Source organism: Homo sapiens, chromosome 15 (assembly GCF_000001405.40).
Source record: "Homo sapiens chromosome 15, GRCh38.p14 Primary Assembly".
Lineage (NCBI taxonomy): Eukaryota > Metazoa > Chordata > Mammalia > Primates > Hominidae > Homo > Homo sapiens.
Genome location: NC_000015.10, coordinates 45,817,499 through 45,840,797, shown reverse-complemented (window position 1 = coordinate 45,840,797; position 23,299 = coordinate 45,817,499). Strand labels below are relative to the sequence as shown.

General features: G+C 42.5%; 1 long non-coding RNA gene across 1 annotated transcript in view, besides 1 other annotated feature; it reads right to left on the bottom strand.

The window, feature by feature from the left end:
• The window catches only part of LOC105370802 (uncharacterized), a 225,875-nt gene that overhangs the window by 90,272 nt on the left and 112,304 nt on the right, over window positions 1-23,299 (bottom strand). The gene's annotated exons all lie outside the window — the stretch shown is intronic.
• Window positions 18,948-19,491: an enhancer, noted in NCBI's record as "NANOG hESC enhancer chr15:46113505-46114048 (GRCh37/hg19 assembly coordinates)". NCBI's record gives its function as "activates a minimal SCP1, AML or CMV promoter by ChIP-STARR-seq in naive H9 embryonic stem cells {active_cell/tissue: H9 hESC(naive)}" and the evidence as "EXISTENCE:reporter gene assay evidence [ECO:0000049][PMID:30033119]".

Below are 23,299 nucleotides of genomic sequence, written 5' to 3'. Positions count from 1 at the left end.
ATATACATGTTTCCCAGAGTTCTGTGAGCCATTGCGGCAAATGATCAATCCCAAAGAGAGGGTTACAAGATCCCTCCCCCAGTTTATAGCCAATTGGTCAGAATTACCAAAGGTCTGGGCTTATGACTGGCGTCTGAAATGGGGGGCAGTCTTGTGGGACTGAGCCCTTAACCTGTGGGATCTGACTTTTAACTCCAGGTAGATAGTGTCAGAATTGAATTGAATTACAGGACATCCAGTTGGTGTCTGCTGGAGAACTGGTCAGGATATTTGGGGGAAAAAAACACACACACATTTTGGTGACCAGAGTGTTCTGTGTTGTGATGAGTATCGAGTACAGTAGAAGAAAACAGACAGTTTGCTTCATTTGTGGTTTTTTTCCCCATTATACACACACACACGTATGATATATATAAGCCTCAAGTATAAAGAGGATGGTGTTGCAACTGAAAATTACGCTTCGCAGATCTGGGAAGACCCACTTTTGGTGGACAACATCACTGCTAGCCACACATCCTCCCACTGGGGGTTGCAAGGTCTGGGGAAGCTGGGTTGAGAAACAGAGTGTATGCTCTGACTCTGCGTGGCCTGACTCTCCCTCTAGCTAATTTTTGTATCCTTTATTAAAAAAATTGATAATATGATTTACTTTAGAATGTGTACAGGTGTGTGTGTATGCCAATATGAACCTTACCTGAGACACTGCACACAAAGAAAGGTGACCATCACAAAGTCAATGAAAGTTTAAAAAATATATTTCAAGACAAACTTTGGCAATACCTCTTGAGTCTCAGTTCAGATAGTAAGACTCTACTTATCTAGGCCTGGTGGCATGTCATTTCCTACTATGGACCAAACTGCCTCATGCAATTAAAACTTGATGCAATGAAACATTAAAGTCTTATAATTAACACTCTTAATTCTGATTCCCTACTCACAAGACAGTATTATTTATAATGTAGTTTTCCACACAATAAGCTACAGACAACACAAGTGTTTGGCTCTTTCTACAGTTCTATTTCTTATTGCAAATTAATTCACTGGTGTTCTGGTTTTATACATCAGTCTCTATAAGCTTGGTTAAATGTGAGTCTGCCCCCTGATAAATTTTTCTGCATTTAGTGAGCTGGGAAAAAAAATGGGATTCTCAGTCTGAAAGGCTGGGCCCTGGACAATAACAAATTCTCACTTTCGGGGGGCTTCTCAGAAGATAGCGTATAAGCCATTTTAAAACTTATTCTTTGTGAAGAGTGCATCTTTTAAGCTTTTTTTTTTTTTTTCAGACAAAGTCTCACTCTTGTCCCCCAGGCTGGAGTGCAAAGGTGCAATCTCGGCTCATTGCAACCTCTGCCTCCCGGGTTCTAGCAATTCTCCCGCCTCAGCCTCCCGAGTAGCTGGGATTACAGGCGCTTGCCACCACGCCCGGCTAATTTTTGTATTTTTAGTAGAGACGGGGTTTCGCCATGTTGGCCAGGCTGGTCTCGAACTCCAGACGTCAGGTGATCCGCCTGCCTCGGCCTCCCAAAGTGCTGGGATTACAGGCATGAGCCACCGCGCCTGGCCTAAACTTTTAAAAATACATATTTATAGGCCGGGTGCAGTGGCTCATGCCTGTAATCTCAGCACCCCAGGAGGCCAAGGCAGGTCACCTGAGGTCAGGAGTTTTGACACCAGCCTGGCCAACATGGTGAAACCCCATTTCTACTAAAAAATACAAAAATTAGCTAGGTATGGTGGCACGCACCTGTTATTCCAGCTCTTTGGGAGGCTGAAGCTGAAGAATCACTTGAACGTGGGAGGCAGAGGTTACAGTGAGCTGAGATGGTGCCATTGTACTATATATAGCCTGGGAGACAGAGCAAGACTTCATCCCCAAAAAAAAAATTTTAATAAAAATTAAATAGAGTATATATTTATAAGTAATGGACTCTTGTAGAAAGTTTAGAGAAAACATAAAAGTTAAAAGAAGATAAAAATCAGTCATACAACCAACTTTAGATAACACTATTAAATACTTGATATATTTCTTCCTAATTTTAATTTTGTGTGTGTATCTCTGTAAATACATGCAAAATTTAAATTATACTAGAAATAGCTTTGTAACCTGTTAATTTCACTAAACATAATATTCTGAACCTTTCCTATGCCATGAAATATATTTTTAAAACACCTTTAATCAATCCCCTTTTGGATATTTAAGTTAATTCCAATCTTTTGTTAGAATAAAACATCCATTGATTAATATTTCATCTTCATATATAATTCTTTACTCACAGCTCTGAATATTTATTTAGAGTAAATTTCTAGAGGGAATTATTGACTCAAAAGGTATGAACATTTTTGGTGCTTTCATCTCTATTGCCAGATTACACCCAAAAACTTGCTGACCTGATTTTTAATAATATCAGCAATTTTCCTTTCAGTACCAGAATGAGAATTTTGCTAGTCTCTCACTAAGAATGAACGAACAATTACTATTTTTTAATGTTTCACCAATGTGAAAGGCAAAATTTTATATTTGCTTTGTAATAACTTGCGCTTCTTTTATACTTCATGCGTCTGAGTATTTATTCCAATATTTGTGGCCACTGTAATTCTTGTTTTGTGGTTTTGCTCCTTCCTGCCCTTGATACATTGTCTTCTTGAGATATTCACCATTTTATATACTGATTTGTAAAATCACTTTTATATTAATCCCATGCTGCATGTTGAATCTTCTACCCAGTTTATTTCATTTAGATTAGTTATGCTTATGGGAATTCCTTCTGGATAGATGGAACTTTTAGATTTTTTTCTTTGGTTTAGAGATCTCAGTCAGCACCCACCTGTCCCCACTTTCTTCTGAGTGAATCTGCAGTCAATGGCTCCTGCTGCCAAGCACTGGTGCTTTACACCAATGACACCCCTTCCTTACGGGTCACAACTGGTGGATGAGGGGCATGCACTTGGCCCACAGACAGCTTCTCCATAGCGTGACCTGCAGCCTATGCCTATCGCACAGCCCAACATAATAGCAGAGATGTGATTATACATGGAGATAAATTTCTGTCTCTCACAGCTAGCAAGTAGGGCCAGATCTGAAAGTAATAGATTCCATGAAAAAGAGTTGGCAAGCCAAAGGAATGTGCAAGCAGAGGGAGGCATGATCAGAAACAAACAGAGGAAACAAGCGACCACAGAGAAGATAAAGGATAAATGTGAGGATAGAGGCAGTGCTGCCCTGAAAGAAAGCCCACAAACCCTATCAGGTAGACACAGAAACCAAAGTAGGCCCTTTATCTGCTTTGGTTCCTTGGAATTTTATATTTCCAAGATGAGGCCCCATGTAAGTATATGATTCAAGCCCACAACTTGAATTTGAGATGGCTTTTTATTTCCCCCTTGCATACAGAACAATCATTCTAGAACAGTGGTTCCTAGCCAGTGGCGATATTGCCCCCTAGGGAAACTTTGACAACATCTGGAAACATTTTTGATTGTCATGAGTGGGGGGCTGCTATTAACATCTAAGAAGCAGGCACCAGGAATGATGCTAAGCATTCTACAATGCTCAGGCCCCCACAACAAAGAATGATTTAGCCCAAAATAGGAATAATTGAGAAACTCTGTTTTAGAACAAGTGTTCAGATTTTTTTGTAGTTTCCGTCTTTGCATTCATGCTTAGAAAGTCCTTCCCTACTCTGTGATAAGACAAATACAGTAAGTCCTCACTTAACATCCCTTGATAGGTTCTTGGAAACTGTGACTTTAAGTGGCACAATGTATGTCAAACCCAATTTTACCATAGGCTAATTGATATAAACAAAAGTTCAGTTCCTATGGTATACTTCTGGTCACGAAAACATCACCAAACTTCTAAGACCCGAAACACTTCTAAGATTAAACATTGAAATAAATGTGAGCTCGCCTGTAATCCCAGCACTTTGGGAGGCCAAGCTGGGTGGATCACAAGGTCAGAAGATCAAGACTATCCTGTCTAACACGATAAAACCTTGTCTCTACTAAAAATACAAAAAATCAGCCGGGCGTGGTGGCGGGCGCCTGTAGTCCCAGCTACTCTGGAGGCTGAAGCAGGAGAATGGCGTGAACCGGTGAGGCAGAGCTCGCAGTGAGCCGAGATCACGCCACTGCACTCCAGCCTGGGTGACAGAGTGAGACTCTGGGAAAAAAAAAAAAAAAAAAAAAAGAAGGAAGGAAAAGAAAAGAAAAGAAAGAAAGAAATGTGAGCTATACATATATTTAAGAAAGATTAATAAAAAAAAAAAAAGTAAGGGCTGGGCACGGTGGCTCACGCCTGTAATACCAGCACTTTGGGAGGCCGAGGCGGGCAGATCACAAGGTCAAGAGATCGAGACCATTCTGGCCAACATGGTGAAACCCTGTCTCTACTAAAAAGTACAAAAATTAGCCGGGTGTGGTGGCACGCGCCTGTAGTCCCAGCTACTCGGGAGGCTGAGGCAGGAGAATCACTTGAACCCGGAAGAGGGAGGTTGCAATGAGCCGAGATCGCGCCACTGCACTCCAGCCTGGCAACAGAACGAGACTCCATCTCAAAATAAATTAATTAATTAATTAATTAATTAATTAATTAAATTTTTAAAAAGTAAGGTAATTATTTACCCACTTATCAGGGTTTTGAGTGGCTGGAGCCTATCCCAAGAGTCCAGGATTCAAGGCAGGAACCTACCCTGGACAGGACGCCATTCCATCATAGGGTGCACTCACACACAGCCACGATCGCTCAGACTGGGACAACATAGACGTGCCAATTAACCTAATATTCATATCTTTGGGATGTGGGAGGAAACCGAACTATCTGGAGAAAAATCTAGCAGACATGGGGAGAATGTGCAAACTCCACACAGATAATGGCTCCAGCCAGGAATCGATTTTTTATCTCATCAGCATTGTAACAAAATGACTATTCAAGGACATGCTGTATTGACCTATATTATCTTCTATTTCTATGATTTAATTTTTAATGTTTCTTTTTCTTCAAAATTTCTAGTAACAAGAAAGCCTTGTTAATGGCAGGGAGATCAGGAAACTAACTAAACTTACAAAACAGGTCACAATGTCTTCATGCCTATGATTAGCATATATCACCAGAAGACAGTGTGGCAGAGAGTCTCACCAAGTTTTTTTTTATTATTATTATTAAATCTACTCTTCTGTGAAGGTGAACTGGAGAGTGTGAAACTCTGTATTCCCCCTAAGTGGAGAGGCAAATGCTAATAAGTTCCTTAGCATTGTACTGAAAATATAGAGCCTACTTGCTACAAAGTTGGTGACATACGGGATACTGTATTCACTCTGCCAACCAGAGGTTCAAAGTTGAAACACTGGGGTAGGCTTAAGATGGTGGTACTCATGGAATTGGTGTCAGTACACTGGTCATCAGTCTTACTGGGCAGAAGTCTCTTACTCCATGGGATTTTTAGAGAGGACACAAAAGCATGAAAGTAGGAGGATGCTCTGAAAGAATGCCATGAAGAGAGGAGTGGAATGTGCATAAGCTTTGGTAAAAGTTTACTCTTTTGAGCTGGTCTTCAGATGCCACATCCTCTGCTCCTTCCTTGTTGCCAACATTATGGGGTCCATAAAATTTCCCAAGATTCTGCAGGGCAGATGGCTTCCATCCTCACATCACCATAACAATCCATATTCCACAGTAAGTAACAAGCATGATTGAGAAAACAGATGCAATGAGCCCGCCAATGCAATATATGCCCCTCAACCTACAATTCTTTGTCCTGGGAGGAGTTGGCTCATCTGGAAATTTAGTTGGTAACTTGTAACAGACTGCACGCACGTTAGCCTTACTCTTCCAGAACTCAGATTCTCTTCTCTGTGTCTACCCTGAATCAAAGATTAAATCATTTTATCTTTCACTGATCTGGAAAGTGGAAAAAAATAAGGCAATTTTTGCCCAGTTACTTCAGCTTCCATCCCCATTGCAATGTAAACTGCAACCTAAGCAGTTCTCTGAAATCTCAATAGCAGCATTTTTCTGATCTGCAGTTGCCAACAAATTATCACCGTGACTCTATTAGGACTTCTGTCTCCTTTCTCTGGCCCCTTAGAACTCTGCATTCTTGTGTTCAGTCTTTCTTTTGAGCATTCCTTCCTTGAACACCAATACCTTTAAGCCTAAACACCCTCACTTCCCTAGTACCTAAGAGCTACGTTAACACACATAAACCTGGGTATGTGCAAAACATCCACAAGAAGAAAAATGAATAACTGCAATATGGAATACAACATTTTTCACACAAATGGTAACCACCAATGCCATAATTGGAAAGTGTGCCTCTAAACAAAAAATAAGTGGAAGGAAAGAAGATTAAGGCCCACCCTGGACCTATCTATAAGACAAAATATGCTGACTCCAAAATACTAGCCCTGAGAAAATTATTAGAATAAGTGAATACGTATTCACTAGCAAGCAATCATAATTCAATGAGATTATTTATTAAGAGCAGAGGTTCCTTTTTTTTTTTGAGATGGAGTCTCAATCTGTCACCCAGGCTGGAGTGCAGTGGTGCAATATCAACCTCTACCTCCCGGGTTCAAATGATTCCCCTGCCTCAGCCTCCCAAGTAGCTGGGATTACAGGCATGCACCATCACGCCTGGCTCATTTTCGTATTTTTAGTAGAGATGGGGTTTTCCCATGTTGGCCAGGCTGGTCTCCTGACCTCAGGTGATCCACCCACCTCGGCTTCCCAAAGTGCTGGGATTACAGGCCTGTGCCCAGCCGAGAGCAGAGATTCTTAACTTTTTCCTTGTGCAACACTATCATACAGACCAAGTGTTGGCTAACCAGTTCTATAAAGGGCCAGAGGGTAAACATTTTAACCTTTGCGGTTTATTAGGTTTCTTTTTTAACTACTCAGTTCTACCATTATAACACAAAACAGCCACAGACAATACGGAAATGAAAGAGTGTGGCTATGTTCTAATAAAACCTTTTTATGGACATTGAAATTTGGATTTTGCATAATTTTCACATCTCATGAAATATTATTCTTCTTTTGATTTTTTTTCAATGATTTAAAAATCTAAACACCATTCTTAGCCCAGGGGACATACAAAACTGGCAGGAAGATAGATTCAGAACATATAACATGGTTTGCTGTAGTTTGATGTAGACTAACATCTATTGTTCACAAAGCGATTCTCCAAATGCCTCATTGAGAAACACAGCTTAATAATGTCCAATTTTCCTTGCTCGGTTTACTGAGCAACCTTCTCCTGATCTGTTTACATGTGATGCTTCCTTCTGGTAAATTGATTCAATCAAAAACCCAAAGAATTAATTCTAGGGGCAGAGTTCTCTCTAGTCTTAATAGTTTATCCCTTGTTCCCTTGAGTTCATATAGCCATTCAAAGGTCTGGCATCTCATAGCTGAAGGAACAAAGGGTGCCATGTGGAGGTAATAGCAACTATTAAATCCTCAGACAAAGCAGAATCACTCAACATCATTACTGTAAATTCTAGCACATCACTGTCAACTCAAAGTCTAAATTAAGATTTGAGCATTGAATCAACTGCTATTCTGATTAGTAATTATTATAGACACATAAATTATAACCACAAAACTTATGGACCCCAAACAGCTAAACAGATGCACAGAGTCAACATGTGCTGAGAATGTACCTCTAGGAGAAAGGGAGAATTCCAGCACCCACATTGCCACAGTGGAGACAAAATGGAAAATAAACATCTAATAAGCAAATAGCTACTGATACAAACATACAAGGATAAGTCTCATAAAATTAATGGAAGCACAGTTATCCCCAAAAGAATTGTATAGTAAATAAGAACCTAGTTTAATCTGTGCCATCTTGTTCCTACTGCATAGTTGATCAATCATGGAATAATATGAAGATCATGATGCCCCAGACCTCACCTTCTGGATGGTAAAAATGGGTCCCATTACTAGTTTTTTCTCATTTTTGTCCTCCTGCTCAGTCAAGCCAAACTTATATGCGTCTCACTTATTAAGATAAAATATTTTTCATGAGGCTTCTGGGAGCCTCATTCAAATGAATTTACAGTGTGTCCCATCAGCCCTTTAGACCCAGCATGCTGGAATCCTGACACAGTGGGAAAAAGTAAACAAAATGAGCAAAATTCTGAAATTGATGGCAAAGCTGAGGTTCAAACTTAAGCCACTGAATCTAATTAGCTCTATACATTTGGGACAAATTATTTTACCTCCCTGTGCCAGGAAGCAATAGAGAGACCTAGAGCTTATCCAGTTCAGCAATTTTTAAGCTCCTCTATAGCGAAAGAATGTGTGCCGAAAATGTGGTTTACAATGAGATACCATCTTACACCAGTCAGAACGGCTTTTGTTAAAAAGTCAAAAAATAACATATTGACAAGGCTTTGGAGAAAAGAGAACACATACAGTATTGATATGAATGAAGATTAGTTCAGCCTCTGTGGAGAGCAATTTGGAAATTTCTCAAAGAACTGATTCAACCCAGCAACCCCTATTGGGCTGATATGGTTTGGATATTTGTCCCACCCAAATCTCATGTTGAAATGTGATCCCCAGTATTGGAGGTGGGGCCTGCTGGGAGGTGATTGGGTCATGGGGGCGGATCCCTCATGGATGCCTTAGCACCATCCCCGTGGTGATTCACTGAGTTCACGTGAGATCTGGATGTTTAAAAGAGTATGGCACTTCCTCCTCTCTCCCTCACTCCTGCTCTTGCCATGTGATGTGTCTGCTCCCACTTCACCTTCTGCTATGAGTAAAAACTCTCTGAGGCCTCCCCGGAAGCTGAGCAGATGCTGGCATCATGCCAGTATTTCTTTATAGCAATGCAACAATGTCCTTCTACGTGGGTATACGCCCCAAGGAAAATAAATAGTTCTACCAAAAAAAAAAAAAAGTGCCCGTATGTTCATTGCAGCACTATTCCCAATGGCAAAGACATGAAATCAACCTAAATGCCCATCAATGTTAGTGGATTGAATAAAGAAAATGTGGTACATATACACCATGGAATATTACACAGCAATAAAAAAGAATGAAGTCATGTCCTTTGCCCCAACATGGATGCAGCTGGAAACCATTATCTTAACCAAACTAACATGGAAACAGAAAACCAAATGCCACGTGTTCTCATTTATAAGTGGGTACACATGGATGTAAAAGTGGGAACAATAGACATTGAGGAATACAAGAGAGGGGAGGAAAGGAGAGGAGGACGGGTTGGAAACAACCTACCTATCGAGTGCTATGCTCACTATCTGGGTGGTGGTTTCATTTGTATCCCAAACCTCAGCATCACACAATATACCCATGTAACAAACTTGCACATGTACCCCCAATTCTAAAATAAAGGTTAAAAAAATAAAATGTGGTTTAACACAGAACCCCAAAATGTAAAACTGGAAAAGCATACCTGCTCTGTTGAGAGGAGGTCAAGAGGGCCAAGAGCCCTGCACACTCTGCCTCCCCGTAGTATCTACAGCGGCCCCCAAAGCTCCTAGACCTTTGGGGAGCAGTTTGAAACCACTGTTCTTATGCAGTCCTCTCATTTTACAAATGAGGAAGCTACTAAGAACATTAAAAATGGCCCCACCAGCAGCCAAACAATGATGTTCCCAACTGAACATAAACAGTGAATCTGAACAATGCTCACACAAGGCCACTGCTGCTACGTTTGGAAAAAGACAGAGACATGGCCACTCCACAACCTCAACAATCACAAAACATCCCCTCTTCTGACTAACACAAGTGACTTCTCCTAGCCCAGCTTTAATCCATCAGCCTCTTTGATAAAATGTATTAAGATACCTGGTCACCAAGTTGACCCTCCCTCTTGACACAACACAACCCGAAACCAGCCTCTGCTCTCCTAACCCCTCGTGAAAATCATCCAGCATAAGCCTGAATCCTGTAAGGGGGCCCCCCACAGTTAATCTCTGGTGTGTCCTTCCTTGCTACTGCAAGCCCCGTTAACCTAACTTTTTGTTTTTACTCCAGGTGTGTTCCTAATGGTCCTTGGCTTTAATACTACCCAGTTAGCATTCTAAGCTATGTCCTCAAGAAAAGCAGAATAGCACCAAGATTTGGCTGAGAGAAAAACAAATAGGTGAGCTCCTAGAGTCGTAAATAAACATGACAGAAACAAACAGAAGCAAATTCTGATCCTTAACAGACAAAATGCTATTGATCTCTGCACGTTTAGCCAGGGGGCAACTGCTTGACGGTGACTCTTAGGTGGAAGGAGACCCACCAGCAACTCTGTCTGAATGCTTTGTGCCACTCACAACAGCCAGCACAGCACCCAGTGTGGACAGAATCCCCTCAGGAATGCAAAAGCACAGAGATGAGCCAGGCACCTGGAAAAGGCTGTCATTATTTAACCCACATTAGCTTCACAGAAATTCAACGATATGTCAATTATATGCTTCTACAAACAAAGCATACTATGATAAGCATCATTCTGGGTTGGATATCAGCACACAGCACATGCAGAATTTTCAAGTCTGCCCCAACACAAACACAAAGTCATAGCAATTTCCATGCTGGTCCTGAAATGAAGGCTGCGATTTTCTTTGGGCCTCACAGATAGTGTAGATTCAATAAACATTTCTTGAGTTGGATTTAATTGACCAGAATCCTCCTTAAAGTAACCACAGTTGAGCTGGAACCAACCTTGGGTTCAATATGTGGTGTCCATGGACTAAGAGGGGAGGTTTTGCCCCATATTACTTTGCCAATGGTATTCATGGTAGTGGTTGCTGTCATCACGCCACTCCCTGGAGCCAGTGGGAGCCCCGCCCCTTCTGAGTTGGGACCGGAGCTCATGCCACTGCAGCTGTTCAAACTTCAGCTGCAGACCCAGGCCTCCTGCTCTAGGGAGAAGGTAGCAACCGCCTAACCTGCAGCTGTGGATCCCAGCCTCCCTGTGCTCTTGGGGGCGCTGGGAACAGGCAGGATCTGCCCTCTCAGGTGCAGCTGCAGCTGCAGCGCCTGCAGCCTGCAGATCTGGGCCTCCAGCTCCAGGAAGCTGGCAGAGCCGGGAACAAGCAGGAGCCCTGCCCCTTCCGAGCTGGCCAGGCAGAAGCTCCCGGGTGCAGCTGCGCCCACCCTCCCAGGCACAGGACTGGGGCGTCTCTGCAGCCTGCACCCTCCAGTGCCCCAGGGAGGAACCCCCGCCTCCCAGTCCCTGCAGGCTCAGGGGTGTCTGCTCCTACTGCCTGGCCTCTCTCTGCTCCTAGCACCTGCTCCATTCTCAGAGCGGGGTTGGGGCCAAGCCCCAGGGCCATGAATGGCAGTCAGAGGCAGACAGAGTCCTGGGTGGAAGGGGGCGGGGTCCCCAGTAAGGCCCCACTTTCAGGCCAGGGAGGGCCTGAAGGCTGTGGGCTGGACTACCAGTCCTGCTAACCGGAGTGGGGACTCCTGGTGCCTCTTCCAACCCACCTATGGCCACCCATGGACCAATCCGCATGCACTTCCTTCCCTCTGAGGTCCATAAAAGCCCTGGGCTTAGCCAGAGGATGAAGAAGGCAGAGAGACTACAGGACAGGACGACCAGGTGCGGAATGGAGTATCCTCCCTGCTGACAGCTGGAGACAATGAGACGGCCAGCTGCAGAGAGGAGCTACCCTCTCTGCTGAAAGCTTCAGAGACTTGCAGAGACTTTCAAATGACTTGCCTGTGGAGAGGAGCCACCCTTTCCAGGGGCTCCTCTCTGCTAAGAGCTGAACGCTCAACGGATGACCTGCCTACAGAGAGGAGGACTTTTTATGCCTACTTCAGTCCTATTTGGGCATCATCAGTTTTTAATTAAGATGGAATCTCGCTCTGTCACCCAGGCTGGAGTGCAGTGGCGTGATCTCGGCTCACTGCAAGCTCCGCCTCCCAGGTTCACGCCATTCTCCTGCCTCAGCCTCCCGAGTAGCTGGGACTACAGGCACCCGCCACCATGCCCGGCTAATTTTTCGTATTTTTAGTAGAGACGGGGTTTCACTGTGTCAGCCAGGATGGTCTTGATCCCCTGACCTCGTGATCCACCCGCCTCGGCCTCCCAAAGTGCTGGGATTACAGGCGTGAGCCACCATGCCCGGCCGCATCATCAGTTTTCAGTGCCTCTTAGTGTGCTTCTTTCCAGTGCCGCCACCTGCCGTGAGTCTCTGCTCATCCTTCAAGGCCAACACTGAGATGCCACCTCCTCTCTGTGCTCCCTCTGACTGCCTTCTCCCGAAATACAGTCCACAGAAGCAGCAACTGCTCTCTTAGTTTTCCAAAATACCTTATGTACTCATTGGGGCTGGGTGCAGTGGCTAACAACTGTAATCCTAGCACTTTGGGAGGCTGAGGTGGGTGGATTGCCTGAACTCAGGAGTTCAAGACCAGCCTGGGCAACATGGTGAAACCCTGTCTCTACTAAAAATACAAAAAATTAGCCAGGAGTAGTGGCACACACTTGTAATCCCAGCTACTTGGGAGGCCAAGGCACAAGAATTGCTTGAACCCAGGAGGCAGAGGTTGCAGTGAGCCGAGATCACGCCACTGCACTCCAGCCTCGGTGACAGAGTGAGACTCTGTCTCCAAAAAAAAACAAACAACAACAAGAAATACCTTATGTACTCATTGGACTAGACTTACTTATTTTACATATCATCTCCATGACCAAGCTATGGTTTTTCTTGAGAGTAGAGCATTATATGCATCTTTGATCTCCAGATATATGGAAATAAATTTCGTAAACATTCTATGTGTTAGATCAAATCGCCTTCCAAATTTGTGTTTTGGCATACATTGAATGATTTCCCCTTCAAAGAAACAGAGTGATTGTGTATAAAGATACTCATATGCTGCTATTTCAACCCAAAGATGTAGTGTTTTTGTACATGGCAGAAACGACTATGGGCTTCATAGCCAGCCATCCTATCCCAGCAAAAAGGGCCCAGGAACAACCTCCGAACTTGCCAAAGAGCAAGTATGGCTTCCCAGGCCAGTCACAGGCTGTTCAGTCTGAAATATTTAGAGTGACTTTCACACAGTAGGATTCTCCTCCAGATGCTCTCTAAGAGAAAAACACTTGTAAATCTAAACCTGGTGCAAACAGCCAAACCTATTCAGTGAGATTCTGTACCTCCTCTGCCACTTCACACCAACACCTGCTTTCTAGAACTTGGAGTCTGCACACTTTGCCTACTAGTTAGGTCCTGACGAAGTCTATCTCCTCCAGCTTCACTCTAAGCAAAGTAACGTCTGTTTCCCAAAGAGGCAGTTTAACTTCGAAATGTAGCAGTGAGGCAATGGAAACTTACCAGCTGCATTTGGACTTCATACTGCACAGTGCCACCTAGCCTTGATAACCACCCTCAACCCATCTCACTCTGTAAAGTGTTTTTTCTTCTAAAACTCAAACGATGTTAAAGGAATGTACTCCCACACCCTAACTAGAGAGCAGCCATGAGAAGCCAGTCTACTCCCACATGGTTATGCCCTATATCCCAATAGCCTGTACTCACAAGCTGGAGCTGATTCCCCAAAAGAGAAGCACGATATATAAGTCACACTGTTAGTTTTTGTTGGTATATACTGGAAGCTCACTCAATGAATGTTCTCCATATGACATTCTCCATATTCTCACATGACAAGAGAAGTTCTCAAAACTTCTATTAGGGTACTTAAAATTTAGTAGTACAGTTTAATTATTTGTGTCTCACCCAACAGACAGAATACTCTAGAAGATCAGAGAATCAGTTCATACAATAAACATGTATTTGCATCCCAAGTGCCTGCATCTGTGCACCTGTTCTTGGCCAGTCCTGAGGACAGTTCAGAAGACAGAAGAGTACATTCCTGCCCTGGAAAAGCTTATTGAGAAGCAGTAAATTCCTTAAGGCCAGAGTTCTATACTTTGGAGCCCCAGTGCCTAGGACAGACTAGGCATTCAAGAAATATTTACTGAAATGAAAATTTATTTGTTTGAATGCAAACTAAGGATCAAGTAAGAATCTCTCTCTGGAACAGTAATGAAGCTATTCTACCTAATATAAGCAACAGTCGTCAAGTCAATTGTCTTGACACTTGCTTGACGTCAAGTCTGAGAGACATTTTCATTCCATATCCTTCTTGACCCCTGAGCACCATCCTTTGATGCTCTTGTCCCTTTGGCCTCTCTTCTCATTTTCTCCTTTCCTTCCTGGCTACTTCTTCAGTTTGAAAATGGCACCCCTCTCTTCATCTCATCTTAAAATGATTTATTTCACACGCTAAGCTTCCTACTTTTCTGATATTTACCCTCTCTCTGGAAGTATTGCTGCTCCAATCTCTGTCTTTGATTATGTTTTTATTTGTTAATAATTCTAAAATCTGTATTTCTAGTTCAGATCATTCTTCTGAGCTTTGATATCCAACTACATCCTGGATCCACACTTGTCCATCCTACAGGCAACTTAAATTCATCATGTAAAAGACGTGGCCCATCTTCTCCCCTTTCCTCCTTTTTTTTACTCCCACCCCAAGATGGTTCCTTCTTCTATATTTATACATTGTCTTAATCCATTTGTGCTGCTATAACAAGGTACCATAGACTGGGTAATTTATAAAGAATAGAAATTTATTGGCTTAGAGTTCTGGAGGCTGGGAAATCCAATATCAAGGCACTGGCATCTTGAAAGGGTCCTGCTGTATCATCTCATGGTGGAAGGCAGAAGGGTAAAGAAGCGAAAGGGTGCCAAATTCAAACTTCTATAATGACATTAATCCCACGAATGAGGGTACAGCCCTCATGGCCTAATCATCTCTCAAGGGTCCCACCTCTTAATACTATTACAATGGCAAATAAATTTCAACAGATTTGTTTTTGTCCTTTTTTGATGTAGGCACTTACAGCTATAAAATTCCCTCTTACTACTGCTTTTGCGGTATCCCATAGGTTTTGGTATGTCGTGTTTCCATTATCATTTGTTTCAAGAAATTTTTCAATTTCCTTCTTAAATTCTTCATCGACTCACTGGTCATTCAGAAGTACATTGTTTAATCTATATGTATTTGTATAGTTTCCAAAATTCCTCTTATTATTTATTTCTAGTTTTATTCCATTGTGGTCAGAGAAGATGCTTGATATTATTCCAATTTTTTAATGTTTTAGGATTTGTTCTGTGACCTAACATATGGTCACAAAACAAATGATCCATGAAAATGATCCATCTGCTGAGGAATGATCCATGTGCTGAGGAAAAGAATTTGTATTCTGCAGCCATCAGATGAAATATTCTATAAATATCTGTTAGATTCATTGGGTCTATAGTGCAGATTAAGTCCAATGTTTCCTTGTTGATTTTCTGTTTGGAAGATCTGTCTGGTACAGAAAGTGGGGTGTTGAAGTCTCCAGCTATTGTTGTTCTGGGGCCTATCTCTCTCTTTAGCTCTAATAGTATTTGCTTTATGCATCTGGGTGATCCAGTGTTGGGTGCATATATATTTAAAATTTCTATATCCTCTGGCTGAATTGACTCCCTTATCATTATATAGGTGCCTTCTGATATGGTTTGGCTGTGTCCCCACCCAAATCTCATTTTGAATTCCCACGTGTTGTGGGAAGGACCCAGTGGGAAGTAATTGAATCATAGGGGGCAAGTCTTTCCCATGCTGTTCTCATGATAGTGAATCCACCAGATTGGATGGTTTTAAAAAGAGGAGTTCCCCTGTGCAAGCCCTCTCTGTTTGCCTGCTGCCATCCATGTAAGACATGATTTGATCCTCCTTGCCTTCTACCATGATTGTGAGGCTTCCCCAGCCACATGGAACTGTAAATCCATTAAACCTCTTTCTTTTGTAAATTGCCCAGTCTTGGGTATGTCTTTTTTTTTTTTTTTTTTTTTTGAGACAGAGTCTCACTCTGTCGCCCAAGCTAGAGTGCAGTGGCGTGATCTCAGCTCGCTGCAAGCTCCGCCTCCCAGGTTCATGCCATTCGTCTGCCTCAGCCTCCCAAGTAGCTGGGGCTACAGGCACCCACCACCACACCCAGCTAACTTTTTGTATTTTTTTTTTTTAGTCGAGATGGGGTTTTACCATGTTAGCCAGGATGGTCTTGATCTCCTGACCTCATGATCCACCCGTCTCAGCCTCCCAAAGTGCTGGGATACAGGTGTGACCCACTGTGCCGGGCCAGGTATGTCTTTATTAGTAGTGTCAAAACAGGCTAATACAGTAAATTGGTACCAGTAGAGTGGGGTGTTGCTGAAAATGTACCCAAAAATGTGGAAGTGACTTTGGAACTGGGTAACAGGCAGAGATTGGGACAGTTTGGAGGGCTCGGAAGAAGACAGGAAAATGTGGGATAGTTTGGAACTTGCTGATAGTGATATGAACAATAAGGTCCAGGCTGAGGTGGTATCAGATGGAGATGAGGAACTTGTTGGGAACTGAAGCAAAGGTGACTCTTGTTATGTGTTAGCAAAGAGATTGGAGGCATTTTGCCCCTGCCCTAAAGATTTGTGGAACTTTGACCTCGAGAGAGATGATTTAGGGTATCTGGTGGAAGAAATTTCTAAGCAGCAAAGCATTCAACAGGTGACTTGGGTGCTGTTAAAGGCATTCCATTTTAAAAGGGAAGCAGAACACAAAAGTTTGGAAAATTATCAGCCTGACAATGCAATAGAAAAGAAAACCCCATTTTCTGAGGAGAAATTCAACCCAGCTGCAGAAATTTGCGTAAGTAACAAGGAGCTGAATTTTAATCACCAAGACAATGGGGAAAATGTCACCAGGGCATGTCAGAGATCTTTGTGGCAGCCCCTCTTATCACAGGCCCAAAGGTTTAGGAGGAAAAATGGTTTCATGGGCCAGGCCCAGGGTTCCTCTTCTGTGTGCAGCCTAAAAACTTGGTGCCTTGAATCCCAGCCACTCTAGCCATGACTAAAAGGGCCCAAGGTACAGCTCGGACTGTTGCTTCCGACAGTGGAAGCCCCAAGCCTTGGCAGCTTCCATGTGGTAGAGTCTGTGAGCATACAGAAGTCAAGAATTGAGGTTTGGGAACCTCCGCCTAGATTTTAGAAGATGTATAGAAATGCCTGGATGCCCAGGCAAAAGTTTGCTGCAGGGGCGGGGCCCTTATGGAGAACCTCTGCTAGGGCAGTGCAGAGGGAAATGTGGTGTAGGAGCCCCCATACAGAGTCCTTACTGGGGCACCACCTAGTGGAGCTGTGAGAAGAGGGCCACCATCCTTCAGACCCCAGAATAGTAGATCCACTGACAGCTTATATCCAGTGCCTAGAAAAGCCACAGACACTCAACATCAGCTTATGATAACAGCCAGGAGGGGGGCTATACCCTGCAAAGCCACAGAAGTGGAGCTGTCCAAGGCTGTGGGAGCCCATCTCTTGCATCAGATTGACCTGGATGTGAGACATGGAGCCAAGGAGATCATTTTGGAGCTTTAAGATTTGACTGCTCCACTGGATTTCGGACTTGCATGGGGCCTATAGCCCCTTTGTTTCAGCCAATTTCTCTCATTTGGAATGGCTGTATTTATCCAATGCCTGTACTCCCACTATATCTAGGAAGTAACTAACCTGCTTTCGATTTTACAGGCTCATAGATGGAAGGGACTTGCCTTGTCTCAGATGAGACTTTGGACTGTGGACTTTTGAGTTAATGTTGAAATGAGTTAAGACTTTTGGGGACTGTTGGGAAGGCATGATTGGTTTTGAAATGTGAGAATGTGAGATTTGGGAAGGGCCCGGAGTAGAATGATATAGTTTGGCTGAGTCCCCACCAAAATCTCATCTTGAATTCCCATGTGCTATGGGAGGGACCCGGTGGGAGGTAATTGAAACATGGGGACAAGTCTTTCCTGTGCTGTTCTCATGATAGTGAATAAGTCTCACAAGATATGATGGCTTTAAAAAGTGGAGTTCCCCTACACAAGCTTTCTCTCTTTGCCTGCTGCCATCCATGTAAGACGTGACTTGATCCTCCTTGCCTTCTGCCATGATTGTGAAGCTTCCCCAGCCACGTGGAAATGTAAGTACATTAAACCTTTTGTAAATTGCCCAGTCTTGGGTATGTCTTTATTAGCAGAGTAAAAACAGACTAATACACCTTTTTTGTCCCTTCTTAGAGTTTTTGTCTTGAAATCCATTTTGTCTGATATAAGTATAGTGACTTCTGCTCTTGTTTGGTTTCCCTTGGCGTAGAAAATCTTTTCCCATCCCATTATTTTCAGTCTATGTGAGTCTTTATAGGTGAAGTGTGTTTATTGTAGGAAAATGATCATTGGATCTTGTTTTTTTAATCCATTCAGCCACTCTACATCTTTTGATTGGTGAGCTTAGTCCATTTAGATTCAATGTAATTATTGATAAGTAAGGACTTATTCCTGCCATTTTGTTATTTGTTTTCTGGTTGTTTTGTGGTCTTTCTTTCTTTCTTGTCTTCCTTTAGTGCAGTTGATTTCCTCTGATTATATAATTTAGTTTCTTGCTTTTTATTTTTTGTGTATCTGTTGTATGTTTTTTGGTTTCAGATTACCATGGGGCTTGGAAATACTATCTTATAACCCATTATTTTAACCTGATAACTGCTTAACACTATTTGCATGAACAAACAAGCAGATGATGAAGATGGCACATAGGAGGCAAGACTAACTTGAAGCTCCCACTCAAATGGACAGAACAGCAAGTGAAGACTCATATCATAAACTATTGCTCCAAGAACTACCACAGGAACATACCAGGAAAGCCAAGAGAATCCAAAGACTCTTCGAAGGAACTGGATCACTGCTGCAGGTTCCCCGAGATGCCAAAAATCTATGAGTCTGCTTGCTTTCTCAGCAGGGAGGCTCATGGTCTGAGGTAAGTTTTCAGCCCTGGTCACAGGCTGCCTGGAAATAGACTTGGTGCTGCGGTGGGGAGGCATGGTGGGAATGAGACCAGCCTTTAGGACTGCAGGCTGCATGGAGGTGGGGTGAGGCCTGTAACTTCCTGCTTTCCCCCACTTCCCTGGCAATCTGTATGACTCCGTAGAGACAGCCATAATCCCTCTGGGAATATAGCTTCATTGGACTGGGAACCACACTCCCATTCCCCACAGCAGCCACAGTAAGCCCCGCCCAAGGAGAGGCTGAGCTCAGACATGCCTATCTCTGCCCCCACCTGGTGGTCTTTCTCTACCCACCCTCATAGCTGAAGACAAAGGTCGTAATCTCTTGGGAGCTCTATAACCCTGCCCACCACTTAAGAAACCTGAATACTTAACCACATGTCCCTAAGGCAAATTTGCATCCTCCCTATAGGACCACAATTGATGCACTCTTGAAAGCACCACCTCCTGGCTGGAGGCCAATCAGGTTTGGTTGTGTTTAGCACACTAAACAAAACACAACCAAGGACCCTCACAGAGTCCACTTGACTCCACTGCTATCTCCACCAGAGCAGGTGCTAGTACCCATGGCTGCAAGACCTGAAGATAGATCATATCACAGGACTCTTTGCAGACACAACCCAGCACCATCCCAGAGCCTGGTAGTCGAGCCCTAGCTTGACTGGGTGGCTATATCCAGAAGAGCAAAAACAATTACTACAGTTCAGCTTTCAGGAAGCCCCATTCCTAGGGGAAGCGGGAGAACACCACATCAAGGGAGCACCGCGTGGGACAAACAGCAGCCAGGCACAGTGGCTCATGTGTGTAACCCCAGCACTTTGGGAGGCCAAGGTGGGTGGATTACCTGAGGTCAGGAGCATGAGACCAGCCTGGCCAACATGGTGAAACCCCGTCTCTACTAAAAATACAAAAATTAGCTGGGTGTGGTGGCATGGGCCTGTAATCTCAACTACCCAGGAAGCTGAGGCAGAAGAATAGCTGGAACCCGGGAGGCGGAGGCTGCAGTGAGCCAAGATCATGCCACTGACTGCACTCCAGCCTGGGTGACAGAGCGAGACTCGGTCTCAAAAAAAAAAAAAAAAAAAAAAAAAAGAATCTAAACAGCTAAACAGCAGCACTTGAATCCCAGATCTTCACTCTGACATTGTCTACCCAAATGAGAAGGAACCAGAAAAACAATTCTGGTAATATGACAAAACAAGGTTCTTTAACACCTCCAAAAGATCATCCTAGCTCACCAGCAATGGATCCATACCAAGATGATATCTCTGAATTGCAAGAAAAAGAATTCAGAAGGTCAATTACTAGGCTAATCAAGGAGGCACCAGAGAAAGATGAAGTCCAATGTAAAGAAATCAAAAACATGGCACGGATATGAAAGGAAAATTCTTTAGTGAAATAGGTAGCATACATAAAAAACAATTACAACTTCTCAAAATCAAGGACACACTTAGAAAAATGTAAAATGCACTAGAAAGCCTCAGCAATAGAATCGAACAAGCAGAAGAAAGAACTTCAGAGCTCAAAGACAGGCTTTCAAATTAACTCACTCCATCAAAGACAAAGAAAAAAGAATTTTAAAAACTGAACAAAGCCTCAAGGAAGTTTGGGATTATGTTAAACATCCAAACCTAACAATAGCTGGTGTTGCTGAGAAAGAAGAGAAATCTACAAGTTTGGAAAACATATTTGAGGGAATAATCAAGGAAAATTTCCCCAGCCTTGCTAGAGATCTAGACATCCAAACACAAGAAGATCAAAGAACATCTGGGAAATTAATCACAAAAAGATCATTGTCTAGGCACATAGTCATCAGGTTATCTAAAGTCAAGACAAAGAGCCATGAGGCAAAAGCATCAGGTAACCTATTAAAGGAAAACCTTATCAGATTAACTGCATATTTCTCAGGAGAAACCCTACAAGCTAGAAGGGATTAGGGTCCTATTTTTAGCCTCCTTAAACAAAAAATTATCAGCCAATAATTTTGTATCCAGTGAAACTAAGCTTCATAAATGAAGGAAAGAGACAGTCTTTTTCAGACAAACAAATGCTGAGAGAATTTGCCACTACCAAGACAGCACTATAAGAACTACTAAAAAGGATCTCTAAATCTTGAAACAAGTTCCCAAAATACACCAAAATAGAACCTCCTTAAAGCATAAATCTCACAAGACCTAATTCAACAGTAACACAATAAAAAAAAAAAAAAAAAAAACACATGCCAGGCATGGTGGCTCATGCCTGTAATCCCAGCACTTTGGGAGGCTGAGGCAGGTGGATCACGAGGTCAGGAGTTCAAGACCAACCTGGCCAAGATGGTGAAACCCCATCTCTACTAAAAATACAAAAAAACTAGCCGGACATGGTGGCAGGCACCTGTAATCTCAGCTACTCGGGAGGCTGGGGCATGAGAATTGCTTGAACCTGGGAGGCAGAGGTTGCAGTGAGCCAAGATCACACCACTGCACTCCAACCTTGGCAACAGTGTGAGATTCCATCTCAAAAAAAAAAAAAAAAAAAAAAAAAAAAAAAAAAAACACAAGGTATTCAGGCAACAAATAGCACAATGAATACAATAGCACCTCACATCTCAATACTAATATTAAATGTAAATGGCCTAAATGCTCCATTTAAAAGGTACAGAATGGCAAAGAGGATAAGAGTCCACTAACCAACTTTCACATGAAAAAATGCTCATCATGACTGGTCATCAGATAAATGCAAATCAAAACCACAATGAGATACCATCTCACACCAGTTAGAGTGGCAATCATTAAAAAGTCAGGAAACAACAGGTGCTGGAAAGGATGTGGAGAAATAGGAATGCTTTTACACTGTTGGTGGGACTGTGAACTAGTTCAACCATTGTGGAAGACAGTGTGGCAATTCCTCAAGGATCTAGAACTACAAATACCATTTGACCCAGCAATCCCATTACTGAGTATATACCCAAAGGATTATAAATCATGCTACTATAAAGACACATGCACACATATGTTTATTGTGGCACTATTCACAATAGCAAAGACTTGGAACCAACCCAAATGTCCATCAATGACAGACTGGATTAAGAAAATGGGGCACATATACACCGTGGAATACTATGCAGCCATAAAAAAGGATGAGTTCATGTCCTTTGTAATGACATGGATGAAGCTGGAAACCATCATTCTGAGCAAACTATTGCAAGGACAGAAAACCAAACACTGCATGTTCTCACTCATAGGTGGGAACTAAACAATGAGAATACTTGGACACAGGGTGGGGAAAATCACATCCCGGGGCCTGTCATGGGGCGGGGGGATGGGGAAGGGATAGCATTAGGAGAAATACCTAAAGTAAATGACGAGTTAATGGGTGCAGCAAACCAACACAGCACATGTATACATATGTAGCAAACCTGCAAATTGTGCACATATACCCTAGAACTTAAAGTATAATTAAAAAATACAAAAAAAAAAAAAAAAAAGAATTCACTAACCAACTTTCTGCTGTCTTCAGGAGACCTAACACACAAGGACTCACGTACACTTAAGGTAAAGGGGCAGAAAAGATGTTCCATGCAAATGGACACCAAAAGTGAGCAGGAGTAGCTAACTATTGTTATATCAGACAAAACAAACTTTAAAAACCAACAGCAGTTAAAAAAGATAAAGATGGACATTATATAATGATAAAAGGACTAATTCAAGGAAAATATAACAATTCTAAATGTATATGCACCTAACGCTGGAGCTCTTAAATGTATAAAACAATTACTACTAAACCTAAAAAATGAGATAACAGCAACACAATAATAGTGAGGGACTTTAGTACTCCACTGACAGCACTAACAGATCATCAAGACAGAAAGTCAGCAAAGAAACAATAGACTTAAACTATACCCTACAACAAATGGATTGAACAGATATTTACAGAACTTTCTACCCAACAACTGCAGAATATACATTCTATTCATCAGCTCATGAAACATTTTCCAAGATAGACCATATTACAGACCACGAAATAAGTCTCAGTAAATTTTTTAAAAATCAAAATTATATCCAGTACTTTCTTAGACCACAACGGAATAAAATTGGAAATCAACTCCAAAACAAACTCTCAAAACCATGCAAATACATGGAAATTAAAGAACCTGCTCCTGAATGATTGCTGAGTCAGCAATAAAATCAAAATGAAAATTTACAAATTCTTTGAACTGAATAATAGTGACACAACCTATCAAAACCTCTGGGATACAGCAAAAGCAGTGCTAAGAGAAAAGTTTATAGCATTAAATGCATACATCAAAAAGTCTGAAAGAGCACAAATAGACAATCTAAGGTCACACCTCACAGAACTGGAGAAACAAGAACAATCCAAATCCAAACCCAGCAGAAGAAAAGAAATAAAGATCAGAATGAAACTAAATGAAATGAAAACAAACAA